Below are 22599 nucleotides of genomic sequence, written 5' to 3' on the forward strand. Positions count from 1 at the left end.
TTTTTTTTGTTTTTGACTCATGTTTTGTCATTTTTCTTAAATATTCAAGACTGTTTTATTTAATCTTCAAGTCTGTTGCATTACATCTCATTTTAAAAATTATTTTTGAGACCATGGTGCAACTAATTTTTTTTTTAAGGAAACAGGATAGACTTCTAAATATTTAAAACTTTATTGAGGTGTAATGTACATACGTAAATTGTGCCTATCTAAAATGTACATTTTGATGAGTTTTGAAAAATGTATTCATCCATGTTAAGACATAAACCATTTCCATCATTCTAAAAAGCTTCCTTTCCCTTTGCAGTCATTCTCTCCCAACCCCAGGCAACTAGTGATATGCAGCCGCTAAAGATTGGTTTGAAGCTTTGATTTTCGGTGTGTGTATGTTTGAAGCTTTGATTTTCGGTTTGTGTGTGATCATTTTATTTTGAGCAATAGATTAATGACTTGTGAAAGTTCACTTCTATTTCTCTGAAGCAAATATACTAGTGAAATATTTTTTCGATTAATTTGGGGCCTAAAAGAGAAATCTCTGCATCCTGACTTTTAATTCTAAAAACTTTTAAAATTTAAAAGTTTCCCCCAAAGAACATTATTTTTAATAAATCTTAATAGTGAACAATAATTTAACAAACTCAGAATTTACTAACTTCTTGCATTTGTATGGTGTATGGCATTTTATGCTTTTAAAAGTGCTTTCCGGTCGGGCGCGGTGGCTCACGCCTGTAATCCCAGCACTTTGAGAGGCCGAGACGGGCGGATCACGACGTCAGGAGATCGAGACCGTCCTGGCTAACACGGCGAAACCCCATCTCTACTAAAAATACAAAAAATTAGCCAGGCGTGATGGTGGGCGCCTGTAGTCCCAGCTGCTCGTGAGGCTGAGGCAGGAGAATGGCGTGAACCCGGGAGGTGGCACTTGCAGTGAGCCTAGATTGCGCCACTGCAGTCCAGCCTGGGGGACCCAGCGAGATTCCATCTCAAAAAAAAAAAAAAAAGTACTTTCCCGGCCAGGTGTGGTGGCTCACGCCTGTAATCCCAGCACTTTGGGAGGCTGAGGCGGGCGGATCACGAGATCAAGAGTTCCAGACCAGCCTGACCAACATGGTGAAACCCCGACTCTACTAAAAATACAAAAATTAGCTGGGCCTGGTGGTGGGCGCCTGTAATCCCAGCTACTCAGGAGGCTGAGGCAGGAGAATCACTTGAACCTGGGAGGCGGAGATTGCAGTGAGCCATGATTGCACCACTGCACTCCAGCCTGGGCGACAGAGCGAGACTCCAAAAAAAAAAAAAAAAAAGCTAGTGGAGGGTGACTTGGATAGTAGTGATTTTTTTTTTTTAACAGAGGTACAAGTAACAGGTTCAGAAAGATCCTGGTCATACAATCAATTAGTAGCAGATTTGACAGATCCCTTGATTTCTCTTGTCTGCATAGCATTACTTCAAAATTCTAGCCTTAGCTATGACTTCTGGTATTTGCTTCATAGTAAGTTTCATGCTAAAGCATGGTTCATAATGGGTAGAAAATCAAGTTTTTTGGCTGGGCGCAGTGACTCATGCCTGCAATCCCAGCACTTTTGGAGGCACAGGCGGGCAGATCACCTGAGTTCAGGAGTTCGAGACCAGTCTGGCCAACACGGCGAAACCTCGTCTCTACTAAAAATACAAAAATAAGCCAGGCTTGGTGGCACCTGTGATCTCAGCTACTTGGGAGGCTAAGGTAGGAGAATCGCTTAAACCTGGGAGGTGGAGGCTGCAGTGAGGTGAGATGGTGCTGCTGCACTCCAGCCTGGGTGACAGAGTGAGACTCCATCTCAAAAAAAGAAAAAAAAAATCATGTTTTTCATTTGTGGTTTTATTTCCCTCCATTTTTTTTCTTGATTGATTCAGAATAGATGGTGAGCTTGGAGGGAACACTCAGCCCTTACAGAGAGCATTAATTCAGTCTCAAGTAATAGTTGCTAACCTGTTTCTTTCTTTTTTTTTTTCCTCTGTGAAGATTCCAGAAGTAACTAACCTGTTTCAACCACATGCTGATATAGCCAGAGACATCACTAATGTGCCAAGGTTTCTCTTGGAGCTTGAGCTGCAGCTCTTTACCTGCAGTTTTGTTTTTTTTGTTTTGTTTTTTGAGACAAGGTCTTACTTTCACCCAGGCTGGAGTGCAGCTCACTGCAGCCTCAGTCTCCTGGGGTCAAGTGATCCTTCTATTTCAACCTCCCGAATAGCTGGGAAAAGGTGTGCACCACGACGCCTGGCTAATTTTTAAAATTTTTTGTAGAATTGGGGTCCCACTGGCTGGGTGTGGGCTCATACCTGTAATCCCAGCACTTTGCGAGGCGAAGGTGGGCAGATCATGAGGTAAGGAGTTCCAGACCAGCCTGACCAAAATGGTGAAACCTCGTCTCTACTAAAAATACAAAAAAATTAGCTGGGCGTGGTGGCACACACCCGTAATCCCAGCTACTCAGGAGGCTGAGGCAGGAGAATCGCTTGAACCCGGGAGGTGGAGGTTGCAGTGAGCCAAGATGGTGCCGTTGCACTCCAGCCTGGGCGACAGTCAGACTCTGTCTCAAAAAAAAAAAAAAAAAGAATTGGGGTCCCACTATTGCCCAGTGTGGTCTGGAACTCCTGGGCTCAAGGGATCCTCCTGCCTGGGCCTCCCAAAGTGCTGAGATTACAGGTGTGAGCCACTGTGCTCAGCCTAATTAGCTATTCTTATTTATTCTGTTTTCTTGTTCATTCCAAGCCTATTCATTCATTCACTTATTCAAATATTTATTAAGCCTTTACTATGTTCTAGACACTGTTCTAGGTGCTGGGGATTTAGTAGTGAATAAACAGCTATGCCCTCATGGAGATTACATGGCACAGGAGGCAGACGATAAGCAGAGTAAATAACTAAAATATATACTACATTAGGTAGTGGTAAGTGCTAAGAAGAAAAATAATACAGGGGGCTGGACACGGTGGCTTAGGCCTGTAATCCCAGCACTTTGGGAGGCCGAGGCGGATGGATCATGAGGTCGGGATTGAGACCATCCTGGCCAACATGGTGAAACCCCATCTCTACTAAAAATACAAAAATTAGCTGGGCATGGTGGCATGTGCCTGTACTCTCATCTACTTGGGAGGCTGAGGCAGGAGAATCACTTGAACCCAGAAGTTGGAGGTTGCAGCGATCCAAGATTGTGGCACTGAACTCCAGTCTGGTGATAGAGTGAGACTCCGTCACAAATGAAAAAAAAAAGAAAAATAATACAGGGAAGAGGACTGTGGAATATTTATGTGGTGTGAGGAGGAGGGTTTGAAATTTTAGCGATGGTGCCGAGATAACTTTATGAAGATGACTAAGTAAAGGCCAGGAGCAAAGTAAAGGAGCTAGCCATGAGGGTATCTGTAGGAAGAGCATAGAGCATTCCTGGCAGAGGAAACAAGTTCAAAGGCCTTGAGATGGGAGGATGTCTGGTATGTTTGAGGAACAGTCAGGGAGGCCACAGTGGTTGAATAGTTGCACATGAGATCAGAATGATCAGGGGAGGACAAATCATGTACAACTTCACAGGTTTTAGGAAGGACTTTGGCTTTTATTCTGAGATGGGAAATCATTGGAGCAGAAGAGTGACATGATGTGACTTAATGGCGTAATAGGATCGTTCTGACTACATTGTTGTGAAAGACTGAAGGAAGAGTGTGTCTGGAGTTGGTTCCTTCCGGTGGGTTTTTGGTCTCTCTGACTTGAAGAATGAAGCCATAGACCTTCGCGGTGAGTGTTATAGCTCTTAAAGGTGGCACAGACCCAAAGAGTGAGTAGCAGCAAGATTTATTGTGAAGAGTGAAAGAACAAAGTTTCCACAGTGTGGAAAGGGACCAGAGCAGGTTGATGCTGCTGGCTGGGGTGGCCAGCTTTTATTCCCTTATTTGTCCCCGCCCACATCCTGCTGATTGGTCCATTTTACAGAGTGCCGATTGGTCCATTTTTACAGAGTGCTGATTGGTGCATTTACAATCCTTTAGCTAGACACAGAGTGCTGATTGGTGCATTTTTACAGCATACTGATTGGTGCATTTACAATCCTCTAGCTAGACACAAAAGTTTGCCAAGTCCCCACTCCACCCAGGAAGTCCAGCTGGCTTTGCCTTCTTAAGAGGACAAGGGCAGAATTGAGGAGACCAGTTAGGAGGCTGTTTTAGTAATTAGGCAAGAGATAGTGGGTTGTACCAGAACAAGTGTCAGATTTTGGATGTGTTGTGATGGAAGAGCCAATAGGATTTAATGATGCGCCAGATTTGGGGAATGAAAGAAAAATGAGTCAAGGATAACACCAAAGTTTTTGGCTTATGAGTCTTCAAGAGTTGGGTTGCTATTAGATGAGAGAGGGAAGATTTACATTGGTATTCATCCTTCTCTTTCCAATCTGATGTCACTTTGGGGCCCCTCCTTTAGCAAGAGGTTCCTAATCTTAAGTGTCCTGTGTCTGTAGCTTACCATTTTTTTGATTAATGACTGGTTAGAGTATGATACTGGAGTTTGAATGTGGTAGTTTAGAATTAGTAATATAATTGAATTGTCTTTCCCTGGCAGATTAATTTTGCATTGTTTGAATCAGTGCATTCATGAGTTGTTGAAATCATGAATGAAAGTAGTACATGTCATTATCTTTCCACCATTTAGTAGTTTAGAAAAATCACATAAAAATGATTGTAATATCTTATGACATTGATAGAAAATATCAAAGTGCATCTCTCTTATCAAGGGTAAAATTTTGTGAAACTTTGTTCAGTTATATATAATGTATTTTTTTTTCTTTTTTTTGGAGACAGTCTGGCTCTGTTGTCCAGGCTTGAGTGCAGTGGTGCCATCTTGGCTCACTGCAGCCTCTGCCTCCTGGGCTCAAACAATCCTCCGCCTCAGCCTCCCAGGTAGCTGGGACTACAGGTATGTACTACCACACCCTGCTAATTTTTTTGGTATTTTTTTTGTAGAGATGGGGTTTCATCATGTTGCCCAGGCTGGCCTCAAACTCCGGGCTCAAGTGATCCTTCCGCCTTGGCCTCCCAAAATGTTGGGATTACAGGCATGAGCCACTGTGCCTGGCCTATAATATCTCATGTATATGGTGTTTATTGGATTGCAGTGTAAAATTATTTCCTTACTGGGTATTACAAGTGAAAATTTGGAAGCCATTGACTTGTGTATAAATAGTCATTTGTCAAAAGAGTAACTTGAAATAACATTGTGATATTTTAAAACTTTTTTTTTTTTTTTTTGAGACAGAGTTTCACTCTTGTCGCCCAGGCTGCAGTGCAATGGCATGGTCTCAGCTCACTGCAACCTCTGCCTCCCAGGTTCAAGTGATTCTCCTGCTTCAGCCTCCTGAGTAGCTGGGATTACAGGTGAATGCCACCATGCCCGGCTAATTTTTCTATTTTAGTAGAGATGGGGTTTTGCCATGTTGGCCAGGCTGGGCTTGAACTCCTGACCTCCGGTGATTCACCCGCCTCGGCCTCCCAAAGTGCTGGGATTACAGGTGTGAGCCACCATGCCCAGCCCTATTTTAAAGCTTTATATGTGTATTTATTTATTTATTTATTTTGAGATGGAGTCTTGTTTTGTCGCCCAGGCTGGAGTGCAGTAGCATTACCTTGGCTCACTGCAACCTCTGCCTCCTGGGTTCAAGCGATTTTCCTGCCTCAGCCTCTGGAGTAGCTGGCACTACAGGTCCCTCCCACCACACCTGGCTAGTTTTTATGAGATGGGGTTTCACCATGTTAGGTAGGCTGGTCTCGAACTCCTGACCTCAAGTGATCTGCCCACCTTGGCCTCCCAAAGTGCTGGGATTACAGGTGTGAGCCACGGCACCGGCCTATATGTGTTTTTAGAAACTGTCACCATAAATGAGAATATTACTTTAGGAACCATCTCATAAATGGGATAACATTTTATTAACCCAACAAATATTTGTTAAGTTCTATATAGTAGTAGGCCCTGGTGGTGTATAAAAATAAACATAAACATGGAACCCCAGCCTGGGCGACAGAGTGAGATTCTGTCTTAAAAACAAAACAAAGCTGGGTGCAGTGGCTCACGCCTGTAATCCCAGCACTTTGGGAAGCCAAGGTGGACAGATCACTTGAGCTCAGGAGTTTGAGACCAGCCTAGGCAACATGGCAAAACCCCATCTCTACAAAAAATACGAAAATTAGACGAGCATGGTGGCATGAGCCTGTAGTCCCAGCTCCTCAGGAGGCAGGGGTGGGAGAAGGGCTTGAGGCCAGGACATCGAGGCTGCAGTGAGCCGAGATAGCACTACTGCACTCCAGCCTGGGTGACAGCGAGACCCTGTCTCCAAACAAACAAAACGAAAATATCCCATGATACTGCCTTCTTGAAGCTACCATTCTAGAGGAGTCAAAACAAAAACAGACAGATGAAATAATTTTAAATTATGGCACTTTTATGAAGAAAACAAATGAGTTGAGAAAGAAAAATCAGGAAAGATTTAATTTAATAAGAGTGATCTGGGAAAGCCTCTGTGAGAAGATAACATTTAATTGAGCTGATGGTCATGAACCTGATTTGGAAAGAATACAGAAAAGAGCATTCCAGCAGCATTTGAAGTCAAGCAAGAGTTTGGCACATTAGTGGGACTGAAAGAAGCTGTGTCTATAGTGAATGAAGGACAAGAATGGCCAGAGAGCTAGGCGGGACCCAGGACATGCAAGGTCTGGTAGGTAGTTTGGATTTGATCCAAAAGGTAATAGAAAACCACTGACATGTTTGAAGATGAGGGATGACATTGAAGCAATTTACAGACAGTCCCTGACTTACTAGGGCTTGACTTAAAATTTTTTGACTTTACCATGGTGTGAAAGTGATATGTGAGTACTCATACAAGCATTCTGTTTTTCACTTTCAGTATGGTATTCAATAAATTACATGAAATAGTCAGCACTTTATTGTAAGATAGGCTTCATGTTAGATGATTTTGCCCAACTGTAGGCTAACGTAAATGTTCTGAACACATTTAAGTTAGGGTAGGCTAAACTCTTTCAATCCCAATAATTTGTTTGAATACTACATCTTCCGTGCATATACTTATATGTGCAAACATGTATATACTTATATATACAAATATGTACAAATATATACAGAAATAGAGTCATAGTATTCTATTAGTTGATTTGCCCTCGTAGTCGTCATAGTATTTATTGAGTGCTTATTATTCTAAGTGCTTTACATGTAATTTCTCTTTTAAGCCTCCCAACAACCTGTTTTAGAGGTGAGAAAACAGGAGCAGAGGAGTAACTTTCACAGAGTCATAAAGTTAGGTGGCACAGGTGAGATTTGAAATCAAGCACTGTGACCCTATAGCCTGTACTCCTTTTTTTTTTGAGACAGAGTCTCGTTCTATCACCCAGGCTGGAGTGCAATGGCGCGATCTCAGCCCACTGCAACTTCCACCTCCCGGGTTCAAGCGATTCTCCCTGCCTCAGCCTCCTGAGTAGCTGGGATTACAGGCACCTGCCACCACATCTGGCTAATTTTTGTAGTTTTAATAGAGACGGGGTTTTGCCGTGTTGGCCGGGCTGGTCTCAAACTACTGACCTCAGGTGATCCGCCTGCCTCAGCCTCCCAAAGTGCTGGGATTACAGGCCTGAGCCACCATGCCCGGCCTGTGGCCTGTACTCTTAACCGTACCCTAGGATCTGCCTCAATGTTTTTCATGGCTGCAGAGTATGGAATTAGGTCTGTTTTATAGCTTTGTTCACATTTTAAATATAATTTGGAAGGATTGGGAATGTGGTATAGGGAAGTTAGAACAGATACCCCTTTCCTGGAACCTAGGTAATTTTTTTCATTTTTTAAGTAGGTCAAACAGGTATATAGTAAAAAGCCACCTTCCCCTCTGCCCAGTTTCACTGCCTCCTAAAGTTAACTCCCATTGTTTGTGTATCCCTCTAGTTTCTTTTTGCCTGTACAAGCCAAAGTGAATGTAGTTTCTCTTTTTTTACACAAAAGATAACATACTATGCACACTCATCTGTGTCTTGCCTTTTTCACTTAACTGTGTATCTCAGGGATCTTTCCATAGCAATAACTGGCATCCCTCCTCCTCCTTCACCACAGCTGCATAGGATTTATTATATGGATCATTATTTAAGCAGTATCCTATTGATAAACATTTGGGTTTTTCAATATTTTGCTGTCACATTTTTTTCTCTAAATCAACTTAATTGAAATCAAATGTAGGGACAATAAAATGTACAGATTTTGAATGTAGAGTTCAGTGAGTTTTGACAAATGTCTCATCTGTATAATCACCATCACAATCAATATACGGTCATGGGTCACTTCACAATGAGGGTGCATTCTGAGAACTGCATCATTAGTTGATTTTACCCCTTCACAAACATCATAGAGTATATTTACACAAACCTAGGTAGTATAGCCTGCTACACACCTTAGCTGTACGGTATAGTCTCTTGTTCCTAGGCTATAAACCTGTACAAACCTGTAGGCAGTTGTGACACAGTAACAAGTATTTGTGCATCTAAACATAGAAAAGGTGCAATAAAAATATGGTATTATAATCTTATGGGACCACCATCATATATATGGTCCATTGTTGACCATATTATGTGGCACATAACTGTAGAACATTTCTACCAGTGTTGTCCCCATACACACTCATTTTATTTCTAACACTATAGTACGTACTCTTCTGTCTAGCTTCTTTTGCTCAGTATATCTGTGAGATTCATCTATTTTTTCTGTGTTATCAGTGATTTGTAACTTATGATTTCATTGTGTGAACATACCAAAATTTGTTTATCCATTCACTTGTTGATTGACATTTGGGTTGTCTCCAGTTTGGGGCTGTTATGAATAAAACTGCTAGGAACTGTCATGTACAAATCTTTGTGTGGACATATGATTTTATTCCTCCTGGGCAAATACCTAGTAGTAAAATTGCTAGGAGTGAGATTACTAGGTTATATGTCTGTTTAACTTTTTAAGCAACTGCCAGAGCATTTTCCAAAGTGTTTATATAATTTTATACTCCCACCACAATGTAGGTTTTCCAGTTTCTTCACATCTTCATTGATACATTGTATTTGTCAGTTATTTTACTTTTAACCATTCTAATGGGTGTGTGGTTGGCCAGGTGCTGTGGCTCACGCCTGTAATCCCAGCCCTTTGGGAGGCTGAGGTGGGCAGATCACGAGGTCAGCAGATCGAGACCAGCCTGGCCAACATAGTGAAACCCCATCTCTTCTAAAAATACAAAGTTAGCCACGTGTGGTGGCAGGTGCCTGTAGTCCCAGCTACTTGGGAGGCTGAGGCAGGAGAATCGCTTGAACCCGGGAGGTGGAGGTTGCAGTGAGCTGAGATCGCGCCACTGCACTCCAACCTGGGTGACAGAGCAAGACTTCATCTCAAAAAAAAAAAAAAAAAAATCATTGTAATGGGTGTGTAATGGTATATAATTGTGGTTTTAACTTGCATTTTCCTGATGACTAATGATGTTGTATCTTTCCATGGGCTTATTGGCCATTTATATATGCCTTTTTATGAAGTATCTGGTCTTGCCCTTTGTAAAATTGGGTTGTTTGTTATTTTTGACTTGAAAGCATTTTTTTCTAGTGGCTGGGTATTAGCTTTGGGGTCCAAGTGTCTGGTTGAGCTTTCTACTTTACCACTTAATAGTTGTGGAACCTTGTGGAAATAAGCTCTGTAAAGGCCCTTTTCCCTCTGTAAAATGGAGATAATAGCACATACTTCACAGGGTAGTTGTGGTTGTGACAAGTAATTTAAATAATGCATATATAGACTTATTATGGCATACTACCTGGCTTAAAGAGCTCAATAAGTGTTAGTGATTATTTTTGTTTTTAATACAAAATTGCATTTAATACAAAATTGCATTGTTTCCTGCAGCATCTTTTGAGTACCAAGTGGCAAGTGCTTTGAAGGATTGAAAGGTAAATTAGATGACTTGGATTTGCAGGGAAGATCTGTGCCCAAGTAATTCTTGTGTGAGGTATAGAGTGGCCTTGCCTGAGAATGCAGGCTCTATTTGGTACAATCCCAGGGTATTTCTTGAAAGCTTTGGCATTTGACTAATAATTCCTACTGTACTTCTCCAAGGCTGGTCAAAAGAAAGTTGATTGTTGCCTGTCCAGTGGAATTAACATTATAATTAAATTTAATTAATTAATTTATTTGTTTTTGAGACGGACTCTCACTGTGTCTCCCAGGCTGGAGTGCAGTGGCGCGGTCTCAGCTCATTACAACCTCTGCCTCCCGGGTTCAAGCAATTCTTCTGCCTCAGCCTCCCGAGTACCTGGGATTACAGGTACCCGCCACCACACCTGGCTAATTTTTTGTGTTTTTAATAGAGACAGGGTTTCCCCATGTTGGTCAGGCTGGTCTCAAACTCCTGACCTCAGGTGATCCTCCTGGCTCAGCCTCCCAAATGCTGGGATTACAGAAGCGAGCCACTGTGCCTGGCCTAACATTATAATTTTATAGAAAGAATGCTCTCTGCCAAGAGTGGTTCCAAGTGGTTAGTTCTAGGGAAGGTGAGAAATAAGATGAGGCAGAATTTAACCTCTATCACTGCCCAGGTGAGGTGACCTGATCAAGGAATCTACTTTCATTTATTTATTCATTTTGCCCGGGGGCATGGCATGCACTCACATGTGTGTTCGCGCTTGTGAGCAGTGTGTGTGCTCACTCCCAGCTCCCATTATGTTCCAGGCACCATGCTGTGTTCTAAAACAGCCATGAATGGGACAGGCGTGGTCTCTGTTCCCGATGGAGTTTATCTAGTCTGATGGAGAAGAAAGATATTAAATAAATAATTGCAATTGTGATACATAAATATCATGAAGGTACATATGGCATTGTGAGAATCAGTGCAGTGGGACCCCGTCTGGGGGGATAAGGATGTCAAGTTATGTTTGGATCTGCAGACCTGAACTTCAGACCCTGCCAAGGTTACACCATTCCTGGCAGCCAGCTGGTTTGCCTCTCTTAGGTGACAGCCTTTTCTTATCAGGCTCATTCTAACCCAAATGCAAATACCTATAGACCTGCACCGTTTCCTCCTGTTCACCCCCCAGGTCTGTTATCTTTCTCTGCCCTGCAGACTGTTTTTTAGGAAGTAGTTTTTGTCTTCTCTAAAATTTTAACCTCCATGTTTTATTTTGATGAGGTAATGTGTTTGGCTAGAGGACCCCCTTTTCATCACTAGGCCTAATTTTGCACTTCCTCAATCTTAATGTTTCTGGATTTCATTTTCCATGTCAGGTGATCTCTAGTATATCTCCATTGTTATATTTTTATTACATCACTATGGAATTTCCACCTACAGATAATTTGTGTAATTTTTTTTCCAACAAGATTTTTATTCTGTAACTGCCATTCTTCACATTCTCCTCTATTCTGCCCATCAGTCCCCTATTTCCATAGAATTAGTAATCTGGAAGTATTATTTTCCATAAGGAATTTGTCCTCTTCTTTGTTGAAACATAGATTTTCTGTCTGCTCTCCAAAAATACTTAGTAAAGTAAATGAACTTAAGGAAAAGTCAGTAGATTTCCCCTACTATCACATATTCTTTGGACAGTTGAACTGGATAAAATTTTTCACAAGAGGACATTACACAATTTCCTTTGTAGCTGTAAAGTATTTCACTTGATTATTATTGCTTGATTTAGACAGAAATGAATAGATCACAATCATTGTTTCATCTTTTTTGGCAGTTTATAATTTCGGTTGCAGTATAGTTTATTTGAAACATTTCATTTGTAATATTGTGTAACTGCGTACATAATATTAATATTAAGTAGACAAAGAGTCCATTAGTGTTAAAGTACAAAGGCTATTCAGGTTGGAAGAATGTTTTTTTGCAAATTCACAAGAGGTTTAAATACAAAGCAAATCCTAGAAAAAAATGGGAAATATCTACTGTCTTACTAGGTTTACTTAATAAAAAGTAGGGAGGAATTTTTGAGTGTCTAGTAGATTTGAATAGTACAGACAACTAATCTAGACTACTGAGCATAACCCCCCCAATACACTTCTATCTTGTTTTGTTAGGATTCAGACAAAAGCACATTTTTAGTTTATATTAATTATAGATATATAAACCTAACTTTACTCTTTCTTTTATTGTGGTGAAATATAGATAACAAAATTTGCCATTTTAACCATTTTTAGTTGTATAATTCAGTGGCGTTAATTACGTTTACACTGTTATGCAGTCATCACCACCATCTATTTCCAAAACTTTTTCGTTACCACTCCAAACAGAAACTCTAACCATCAAGCCATAACTCCGTATTCCTCTCCCCAAACTCAAGCTAACCTCTCATCTACTTTCTGTCTCTATTGAATTTGCCTGTTCTAGGTACCCCATATAAATGGAATCAAATAATATTTGTCATTTTGTATTTGGCTTCTTTCACTTAGCATAATGTGTTTTGTTTTATTTTTATTTACCATTTTATTAATTGTTAAGCATACAGTTCAATGGCATTAAGTACATTCATGTTGCTGTGCAATCATCAGTACCATCTATCTCCAGAATTTTTCATTACTCCAAACTGAAACTCTGTACTTATTAAATAACTCCCTATTTCCCCCTCTTCCCAGCCTCTGGTAATCACAGTTCTATTTTTTGTTTTTATCAATTTGACTACTCTAGAATATAAATGGAATCAACAATATTTGTCCAGTTGTATCTGGCTTATTTTACTTAGCATAATGTCTTCAAGGTTCATTCATGTTGTAGTATGTATCAGAATTTCATTCATTTTTAAGGCTGAATAATATTTTATGTATATACCACATTTTGTGTATCTATTCATCTGTTTATAGGCATGGGTTGTCTACCATTTGGCTGTTGTGGACAATGCTGCAGTGAACATTGGTGTACAAGTATCTGTGTGAATCTGTTTTTAATTCATTTGGACATATCTAACAGTGGAATTGTTGGGTCATATGGAAATTCTATGTTTGGCTTTTTGAGGAACCTCCAAACTGTTTCCCACAGCAGCTGCACTATTTTATATTCCCACCAGCAATGTACAAAGATCCCATTTTTCGATTTTTTTTTTTTAATTGTAGCCATCCTAGCAGGTGTAAAGTGGTGTCTCGTTATGGTTTGATTTTCATTTCTTTTTTTTTTGGTGTGGGGAGTCCCTTTCTGACAGAATTCATTTCCTGAATGACTACTGATATTGCACATCTTTTCATCTTCTTATTGGTCATTTGTGTATTTACTTTGAAGAAATGTCTACTAGAGTTCTTTGCCTTTTTGTAAATTTGAATGTGAGAAGGAGAGAGAGCGAGAGAGCTCTTTGCCCACTTTTAAATTGGAGTGTCTTTATTGTTAGGTTACAGTTCTTTATATATTCTGGATATTAATTCTTGATCAGATATATGATTTGCAAATATTTTCTCACATTTGGTAGATTGTCTTTTTACTCTTGATGTCCTTTGATGCTCAAAAGTTTTTATTCTGATGGAGTCCAATTTATCTGTTTTTTTTTGTTGTTGCCCATGCTTTTGGTATCATATCTAAGAATCCATTGTCAATCTCAAGGTCATGAACATTTACCCTTATGTTTTCTCTAAGAGTTTTATGATTTTAGCTTTTATATTTAGGTTGTTGATATTTTATATTAGGTTGTTGAGTTAATTTTTGTAATATGGTGTGGGGTAGGGGTTCAACCTTTCCTTTGCATGTGGAAATCCAGTTTCCCAGCATCATTTGTTGAAAAGACTGTTCTTTCCTCCACTGAATAGACTTGGCATCCTTGTGAAAAATCAAATGGGAGCTCGATCTTGGCTCACTGCAACCTCCGCCTCCTGGGTTCAAGCGATTCGACTGCCTCAGCCTCCCGAATAGCTGGGACTACAGGTGCCCGCCATCAGGCCCAGCTAATTTTGGTATTTTTAGTAAAGATGATGTTTCACTATGTTGGCCAGGATGGTCTGGAACTCCTGACCTCATGATCCGCCCACGTTGGCCTCCCAAAGTGCTGGGATTACAGTTGTGAGCCACCACGCCCGGCCTGTTTCTTTTTTTAATTGTATTTTACTTAAAAGTTTATATTATGATAAAAACAGCATGAAATCTACCATCTTTTTTTTGAGACAGTCTCACTCTGTCACCTAGGCTGGAGTGCAGTGGCATGAACTCTGCTCACTGTAACCTCCACCTCCTAGGTTCAAGTGATTTTCCTGCCTCAGCCTCCTGAGTAGCTGGAATTATAGGAGCGGGCCACCACACCCAGCTAATTTTTGTATTTTCAGTAGAGATAAAGTTTCACCATGTTGGCCAGGCTAGGGTCAAATTCCCAACCTCAAGTGATCCACCTGCCTCAGCCTCCCAAAGTGCTGGGATTACAGGTGTGAGCCAAAATCTACCATCTTAAACATTTGTTTGTTTTAAAGACAGGGTCTTGCTCTGTCACTCAGGCTCGAGTGCAGTGGTGTGATTGTAGCTCATTGTAGCCTTGAACTCCTGGGCTCAAGCAATCTTTCTGCCTCAGCCTCCCAAGTAGCTGGGACTACAGATGTGCACCACCACACCTGGCCAATTTTTTTAGTTTGTTTTTAATATAGATCGGGGTCTTGCTGTGTTGCCCAGGCTGGTCTCCAACCCCTGGCCTCTAGTGATCCTCCTGCCTCAGCTTCCCAAAGTCCTGGGATTATAGGCCTCAGCCACTGCACCTGGCCCATCTTAAACATTTTTAAGTGTACAATTCAATTGTTTTAAATATTGAATATTGAATATTGTTGTGAATCAGATCTCTAGAACTTTTACATCTTACAAAAATGAGACTATACTCATTAAACAAATTCCCTTTTTTTCCTTCCCCAGTGCCTGGCAATCACATTCTACTTTGTGTTTCTATGAATTTACTTTACATACTGCCTATATTTTTGAGATTTAGCCATAAGATGTCACTGTAGTAAGTGAACACACTTGTATAACCACCATCTGGTTCTTCCTCATCCCCAGAGGTACCCACTGTATTACCATAACAGCATAGATTCATTTTGCCTGTGTTTGAACTTTTTATAAATGGAAATTTCACAGTATATATTCTTTTGTGTCTGGTTTCTTCAGTTCAACATGTTGCATTCTCATGTGTTGTGTATGTGGCAGTGGTTCGTTCTTTTTCATTGCAGATTAGGATTCCATTGTATGATTATATCTCATTTTGTACATACTCTGCTGTAGATGTTTGGGCTGTTTCCAGTTTGGGACTGTAATGAATAATGCTGCTATGGCCGTGTGTGTTGCGTGTGTGTGTGTGTGTGTGTGTGTAAATACATATATCTATTACACATTTCTCTTTAGTATATATTAGGGGATCTCATTTGATTTTTTTTTTTTTAAAGAGATAGTGTCTCACTATGTTGTCCAGGATGGTCATGAACTCCCAGGCTCAAGCGATCCTTCCACCTTGGCCTCCCAAACTGCTGGGATTACAGGCCTGCGCCGCCGTGCCTGGCCTTCATTTGATTTTTTAATGGAAATTTTTATTGAGATAATTGTAGATTCATATGTAGTTGTAAGAAATGATAGAGATCCTTTGTACTCTTCTCTCATTTGTAACATTTTGCAAGACTTTAGTATGGTATCACAACCAGGATATTGACATTAATCAGTCCACAGATATTATTCTGATTTCCCAGTTTTACTTCTCTCTTTTTTTTTTTTTTTTTTGAGATGGAGTCTTGCTCTGTTGCCCAGGCTGGAGTGCAGTGGCACAATCTCAGCTCACTGCAACCTCCGCCTCCCGCGTTCAAGTGATTTTCCTGCCTCAGCCTCCTGAGTAGCTGGGACTTACAGGCACATGCCACCACATCCAGCTAATTTTTTGTATTTTTAGTACAGACAGGGTTTCACCATGTTGGCCAGGATGGTCTCGGTCTCCTGACCTCGTGATCCGCCCGCCTCAGCCTCCCAAAGTGCTGGGATTATAGGCGTGAGCCACCACGACTGTCCTTACTTCTCTTTGATTTATTTCTTAAAGAGAAAGCGAGATGGTTTAATTTGTAGTCAAGAGTCATTTCTTCTTGATTACAGTGCTCATTATGCAAATTTCATCTACCTGTTGATACAGAAATGGTACCCTGCCACTTCCCTGGACATTTATTCCAGACAGAAAAATTCCTGTGCAACCCTCACCTAGATGTCTGCCAGCAGTTGATCTCTCTGCCTTCTTAAAAAGTTATGTAAACTCTTATCTAGAATATCTGGGGTTTTTAGTTCAACTGACTGGACATATACAGTATAGAAACTCATTTTTTTTCAGTGGGTTTGATAATATTCTCAACTCTAGATCAAGAACTTCCCATTACTTAACCTGTCTTTGATGATCCTGAAAGTTCCCTAGATGGGAAATAGATCTGGCAGTATGTCAGGGTCACTAATTTTCCCTGGATAGTATTAAAATATATAGAAGGTTTGCTACTTTTCCTGGCCCTGGATAATCTGTCTGAAAAGAGTTTGTGTGAATGAAGTTTTCACGTATTTGCTCTTCATGTCATCCTGTAGGCTCAGAATGAACAATACAGGGAGATTCATTTTGCTTATCTATAGTTTCTAAATTTTTGGTAATGAAAATTATTACTTTTGTAAAGAAAGTTATAAAAATACTAACAATTAAATATAAAAATGCAGGGTGCTTGGATCTCAAAATAGGAGCTTACTGTGATTAAAAGTCAGACTGCATATAATAATTAGTTATAATTAATAATGCTTTTTCTTTCTTTGTTTACATGAAATCTTTCAGAAAATAATAATGCTTTTTCAAAGATTGAATTTTTGGTAAATGTTTATATTTTGGCTAGCTTAAGTTTTCCCCTTTCTCTGCCTCTCATTTCTAGAGTCACCAGAAGGAAAATGTAAAACATTTTTTAAATGGCTCTTTCCCTGTAAATCATCCAGCACACACACTGCATTTTTTCTAGTTTCAGGCATAAAGGGAAACCTGGCTCAGATAAGAATGATCCTTGCTGCATGCTCAGCGGCTCATATATCTTTCTTTTTAAATTATTATTTTTTACTTTTTAATATTTATGTATTTTTAATTTTTTTAGTGACAGGGTCTCCGTTGCCCAGGCTGCAGTGCAGTGGCGCCATGCCTCGAATTCCTTGGCTTCTGGATGATCCTCCTAATTCAGCTTCCTGAGTAGCCAGGACTACAGGCCACCATGCCTGGATAATTTTTTAATTTTTAAAATTTTTTTTGTGGAGAACAAGGTCTTGCTTGGTTGCCCAGGTTGGTCTTGAATTCCTGGCCTCAAGCAATCTTCCTGCCTTGGCCTCCCAAAGTGTTGGGAATACAGGTGTGAGCCACTGTGCCTAGCTATCCTTTTTTTTTTTTTTTTTTTAAATTCTGAGAGTCTCTAGCTCAAACACAAGTTAGCAGGTTAAGGACTACTCCAAGTTCTGGCAGAGCTAATTTTTACTACTTGGTCTTCAAAAAATAGAGGCTTTTTTAAAAATTTTTTTTGTGACAGAGCTTCACTGTATTGCCCAGGCTGGAGTGCAGTGGTGCGATTGTGGCTCACTGAAAACTTCGCCTCCCGGGTTCAAGTGGTTTTCCCGAATAGTTGGGATTACAGGTGAGCGCCAGCATACCCAGCTAATTTTTGTACTTTTAGTAGAGACAGGGTTTCACCACGTTGGCCAGGCTGGTCTCAAACTCCTGGCCTCAAGTGATCCGCCCTCTTCAGCCTCCCAAAGTGTTGGGATTACAGGCGTGAGCCATGGCACTTGGTCTTGTAACTCCTTTTTGAACATAACTTCAAAGTGAAGGCCTTTGCCCATGAGCTCTTTGACATCATCTGGTGTCCACTGGTGACCCATCAGCTCCAGAACTTTCTACTTTGTCTTGGAAGCTTTGCTGGTTTCTGTGGGCATGGCCATGGCTGCTCTGGTCATCTGCTCCTGCCTCATTTCTTATTGGTCAGTTGCCATTATCTTGGCCTAGAATCACAGTAAATTCTCTGAAGCCCAAATACGTTGAGGAAATACCAGGATGCAGAGCTCATTCAGGGTGGATCTAATGTGAGTAGTTTGATAACTTGCTGCAGCATAGGCTTAAAACCAGAGGGTCGGCCGGGTGCAGTGGCTCATGCCTGTAATCCCAGCACTTTAGGAGGCCGAGGCGGGTGAATCACCTGAGGTCAGGAGTTCGAGACCAGCCTGGCCAACGTGGTGAAACCTTGTCTCTACTAAAAACACAAAAATTAGCTGGGCATGGTGGCAGGCACCTGTAGTCCCAGCTACCTGGGAGGCTGAGGCAGGAGAATCGCTTGAACTTGGGAGGCAGAGGTTGCAGTGAGCCGAGATTGTGCTACTGCATTCCAGCCTGGGCAACAGAGTGAGACTCCGTCTCAAAACAAACAAACAAACAAACAACAACAACAAAAAACAGAGGGTCAGTGGAAATAGGACCTTGGTTGCAACAATGCCTGAGTATGTCAATGTTGATCCATTCACAAGTAAGAATCATAGGGATGACGTTTGTTATATTTCCTTTCATCATGCCTGAGAGCATAGTGGGAGGAAGTGGTGATATTTTTATCCTCTGGGTTGTTGATGTAATATTCTCATGTCAAGAAAAAGACTTTTTGGGAATGTAATTTCCATTTTCACTGAAGGCTCTGCTTCAAATTAGGACTTAACTGTCAGATACTTGCTCCTGGGTGAGCTTCTTGTCGCTCTGTACCAGGATGAACATGTAGTGGCAGATCATATCTGAGAAGAAGCAGATGATAAACATGGGCGGGACCATCCAGTGGCTGACGCTGGAGTTGGACAGTAGCTCCTACCCTCTGTCTTCACTGAGAGCTGGTCTGGCTTCTCCTGGGGTGCCGGGGCTCTTTGGGTTTTCGTCGAGGCCTTCGTATGCTCCTCAGCCTGGGCATTATCTTGGCCTAAGACTGGCCAGGACCCTGCTATAGCCTCGGGCCTAGTGCAGTGATTCCAACTCCTCCAGCTGGGCTGCCAGTGGCCCATGGCAGCCCTGCATCCATTTGATTTTCGCTAACTCTATCTGGAGACTATAGAGTTCTAAACAGAAACCAAAAGCTCCCTGACGTCTTTTTGCTTGTTCTAAGCCATCTCTATTAAGACCATATTTTAGAGTGAAAGTTATTAAACCGTAGAATTTTGTTTGATCACTCTGACCCCCACTTGCTTCAGTGAAAAAAAAAAAGAAGCAGGCTACAAAACATTATGTACTACATGAATTCACTTTGTGAGAACACAAAAAACTTTTATTTATCACTGCCTACCACACAAAATAGTAAGGATTCAATAAAAAATTGTAGACTAATGGCTGAAATGATTGAAAGAATACACAGGAAAAATGAAGTTTTATGCACCAAATTGTTAACTGGACTTATTTCTGTTCCAGGACTCTAGTTGATTATTCTTTTTTCCAAATTTACCACAGCGAATATATAACTTTTACTTAATATTTTAAAAAAGTGTTGTGCTTTCTCTTGTTTATAAGTGGTGAGAGACTGATGAAAGTGAAAGTACTTGTAGAAAGAACTGTGTAGCAAGTCAAAAATTCAGTCATTCCCTGAAATGTTGTAATCTATGAAGGAGTTTTATTGTCCTTTTACTCTGAAAGGCAACACAATAGTTGGGTTGTGTCAAAAGGAAAAAATATCATCCATAGTTTAGGTGTATAGAACAAATTGGGACATAATTCCAGAACTGATGACTTAGTTCCACAACAAAGAACAGTTTCACATATAATAACCTGAGAGTTTCAGATATAATAACAAGTGAATCGTGGCTGTCTTACTCTTGCTGTAAAATAGCATTCTTAAATACTGGGATGTGAGACCCACTCACTGGGTGGAGACCTTTTAGGAGATAAAAATAGAAGTTATCCTTATCCTCAGGGAGCTCATAGGCTGGTGACTATGACTGGGAAGTAACACTTACAGTTTTTATACTTCAATTGAATTAACATTTATTTAAAATAGGAATGATAATTTATTCCTGCTGAAATGGTTGTTATAAAAAGTAAAAAGCATTAATATTTCAAAAATACAAATTTTGATATATTAAATAATATAAATTCTAAATTTGCTAATTTAAGTAAATGTTTTTTGAGTATTTAAGTCAAGGACTGTGCTAAATATAATTTTACAAAATGGTTAATTTTCTGAGTAAGTAATGCTTTATTTGGTAAAACAGTTTCAGAGGCTGGGCATGGTGGCTCATACCTTTAATCCCAGCACTTTGGGAGGCCGAGGCTGGTGGATCACCTGAGATTGGGAGTTCGAGACCAACATGGAGAAAAACCCCGTCTCTATTAAAAATACAAAATTAGCTGGGCATGGTGGCGCATGCCTGTAATCCCAGCTACTTGGGAGGCTGAGGCAGGAGAATCGCTTGAACCCGGGTGGCAGAGGTTGCGGTGAGCTGAGATTGTGCCATTGCACTTCAGCCTGGGCAACAAGAGCGAAACTCCATCTCAAAAAAAAAAAATTTTTTTTCAGAAGAGTATGTGGTGAAGTCTTCCTTCTACCCTATCTCCCAGCCACTAGGTTCTTTCACCATTTTCAGAGAGATTTTATGCATGGGTATAAATATGCATATATATATCTTCATTTAAAAATTGTAGATGGTATTATATTATGCTCTTCTGGAGTGCAAAGTGTTTTATATGCTTATCTCATTTAATATGTACAATAGTTGTCAAGACAGGTACTCTTATTAATATTTCCATTTTACAACTAAGGAACTAAAGACATCTCAATTTTTTAATAACTTGTGCAGGGTCACATAGCTGATAGTTATAGAATCTACTTCCTGAGGCACTACTTTATATAGTTAACTTATTTATTTATTCATTTATTTTGAGTCAGAGTCTCACTCTTTTGCCCAGGCTGGAGTGCAGTGGCGTGATCTTGGCACACTGCAACCTCCCCCTCACAGGTTTAAGTGATTCTCCTGCCTCAGCCTCCTGAGTAGCTGGGACTGCAGGCACCCACCACCACCATGCCTGGCACTTTTTGTATTTTTAGTACAGACGGGTTCACCAAGTTGGCCAGGCTGGTCTTGAACTCCTGATCTCAAGTGATCTGCCCGCCTTGGCCTCCCAAAGTGCTGGGATTACAGGCATGAGCCACCGTGCCTGGCCTAGTTAACTTTTTAATTTGAAACAATTTCAAAGTTACAGAAAAGTTGCAAGAATAGAATAAAGAATTGCATATACCCTTTGCCTGGAGTCCTTAGTCAGGTTTCTGCAGCTATCTCAATAATATTGGCAAAAGGAACCAACCTAGGATCACCCATTATTCCCAGTTGTCATGAATCTCTAGCCTCCTTCAATCTGGAACAGTTTCTTCACTCTTTCTTTGACTTTCATGACTGTGGTATCTTTAGAGATCACAGGCCAGACCTGTCCAGAAAGATTTTGTAGAATATTTCTAAATTTGTGGTTGTCCCAGGTGTCCTCACTGTAATCCCCATATGATGCATTTTTGACCACAGTATCACAGAAGTTATGCTGTGTTCTTCCCATTGCATCCTGTCAGGCACCACACAATGTCAATTTGTTCCATTATTTCTATTAAAGGGAGAAAGGAAGAAGGGGGTATGGGAAAGTAACTTGTTGGTTTGCTTTTCAGAGAACCCTCGGTTCAGTAAATATCTTTTCCTTGTAGCACCCTGGAGGAGAAGAGGTTCTGCTGGAACAAGCTGGTGTAGATGCAAGTGAAAGCTTTGAAGATGTAGGACACTCTTCTGATGCCAGAGAAATGCTAAAGCAGTACTACATTGGTGATATCCATCCGGTAAGAACTATCAGAGATGGGAGCCCTTATGCAGAGAAAACTACTTAACAGCTGCAGAACAGGATGAAGAAATGAATTATTGGCTGGGCGTGGTGGCTCACACCTGTCATCCCAGTACTTTGGGATGCCAAGGCAGGCGGATCACTTGAGGTCAGGAGTTCGAGACCAGCCTGGCCAACATGGTGAAACCCCACCTCTACTAAAAAATACAAAAATTAGCTGGGTGTGGTGGCGCACACTTGTAATTCCAGCTCCTCAGGAGGCTGAGGCACGAGAACTGCCTGAACCTGGGAGGCAGAGGTTGAAGTATGCCAAGATTGCACCACTGCACTCCAGCCTGGGTGAAAGAGCGAGACTCTGTCTCAAAAAAAAAAAAAAAATTATTAAAATGGAAATTCATTCAATCTAGCCATCAGGCTAAATTTTCTCCAAAATTGTCTAGTCTTACTGTGCTAGGATATAGCTTCTTCTTTGCCAGGTAGCACATGTAATATCTCTAAAAAGCTAAGGGAACTGATTCTGGATTATTTTTATGTGTTGATTTATTTTTGTAATGCAGTTAATAACACCTTTACCTAAAATAGTGGTTTGCTTGTTTTTGCAAGCTCCTTGCTAAAGGTAGTAATTATGGACTTTAAAAACTATCCATATATACCATTCTAACAAGGGACTCTGATATGCTCAGAGTAGAGGTATCTTTCTATGGATCCTCAAATCTCCCAGGGAATTCACTA

General features: G+C 40.7%; 1 protein-coding gene and 1 pseudogene across 1 annotated transcript in view, besides 4 other annotated features; one reads left to right on the plus strand and one right to left on the minus strand.

Moving 5' to 3' along the window:
- CYB5B (cytochrome b5 type B) overlaps positions 1-22599 on the plus strand; it is a 41646-nt gene that overhangs the window by 795 nt on the left and 18252 nt on the right. The window contains exon 2 of the mRNA NM_030579.3: positions 21737-21865. Coding sequence (NP_085056.2) covers positions 21737-21865 — 129 coding nt within the window. The remainder of the gene's footprint in view (positions 1-21736; positions 21866-22599) is intronic.
- Positions 11113-11162: a silencer, noted in NCBI's record as "silent region_7661". NCBI's record gives its function as "represses an Ori minimal core promoter by ATAC-STARR-seq in GM12878 lymphoblastoid cells {active_cell/tissue: GM12878}" and the evidence as "EXISTENCE:reporter gene assay evidence [ECO:0000049][PMID:35858748]".
- LOC100420066 (transmembrane protein 111 pseudogene) lies at positions 17814-18879 on the minus strand (annotated as a pseudogene).
- Positions 18092-18374: a silencer, noted in NCBI's record as "fragment chr16:69477408-69477690 (GRCh37/hg19 assembly coordinates)". NCBI's record gives its function as "represses an EF-1alpha promoter that drives an FKBP-Casp9 reporter gene in an ReSE screen in HepG2 liver carcinoma cells {active_cell/tissue: HepG2}" and the evidence as "EXISTENCE:reporter gene assay evidence [ECO:0000049][PMID:32094911]".
- Positions 18721-18800: an enhancer, noted in NCBI's record as "active region_11038". NCBI's record gives its function as "activates an Ori minimal core promoter by ATAC-STARR-seq in GM12878 lymphoblastoid cells {active_cell/tissue: GM12878}" and the evidence as "EXISTENCE:reporter gene assay evidence [ECO:0000049][PMID:35858748]".
- Positions 18831-19090: an enhancer, noted in NCBI's record as "active region_11039". NCBI's record gives its function as "activates an Ori minimal core promoter by ATAC-STARR-seq in GM12878 lymphoblastoid cells {active_cell/tissue: GM12878}" and the evidence as "EXISTENCE:reporter gene assay evidence [ECO:0000049][PMID:35858748]".

The sequence above is a fragment of the Homo sapiens genome, chromosome 16, assembly GCF_000001405.40.
Source record: "Homo sapiens chromosome 16, GRCh38.p14 Primary Assembly".
Classification (NCBI taxonomy): Eukaryota; Metazoa; Chordata; class Mammalia; order Primates; family Hominidae; genus Homo; species Homo sapiens.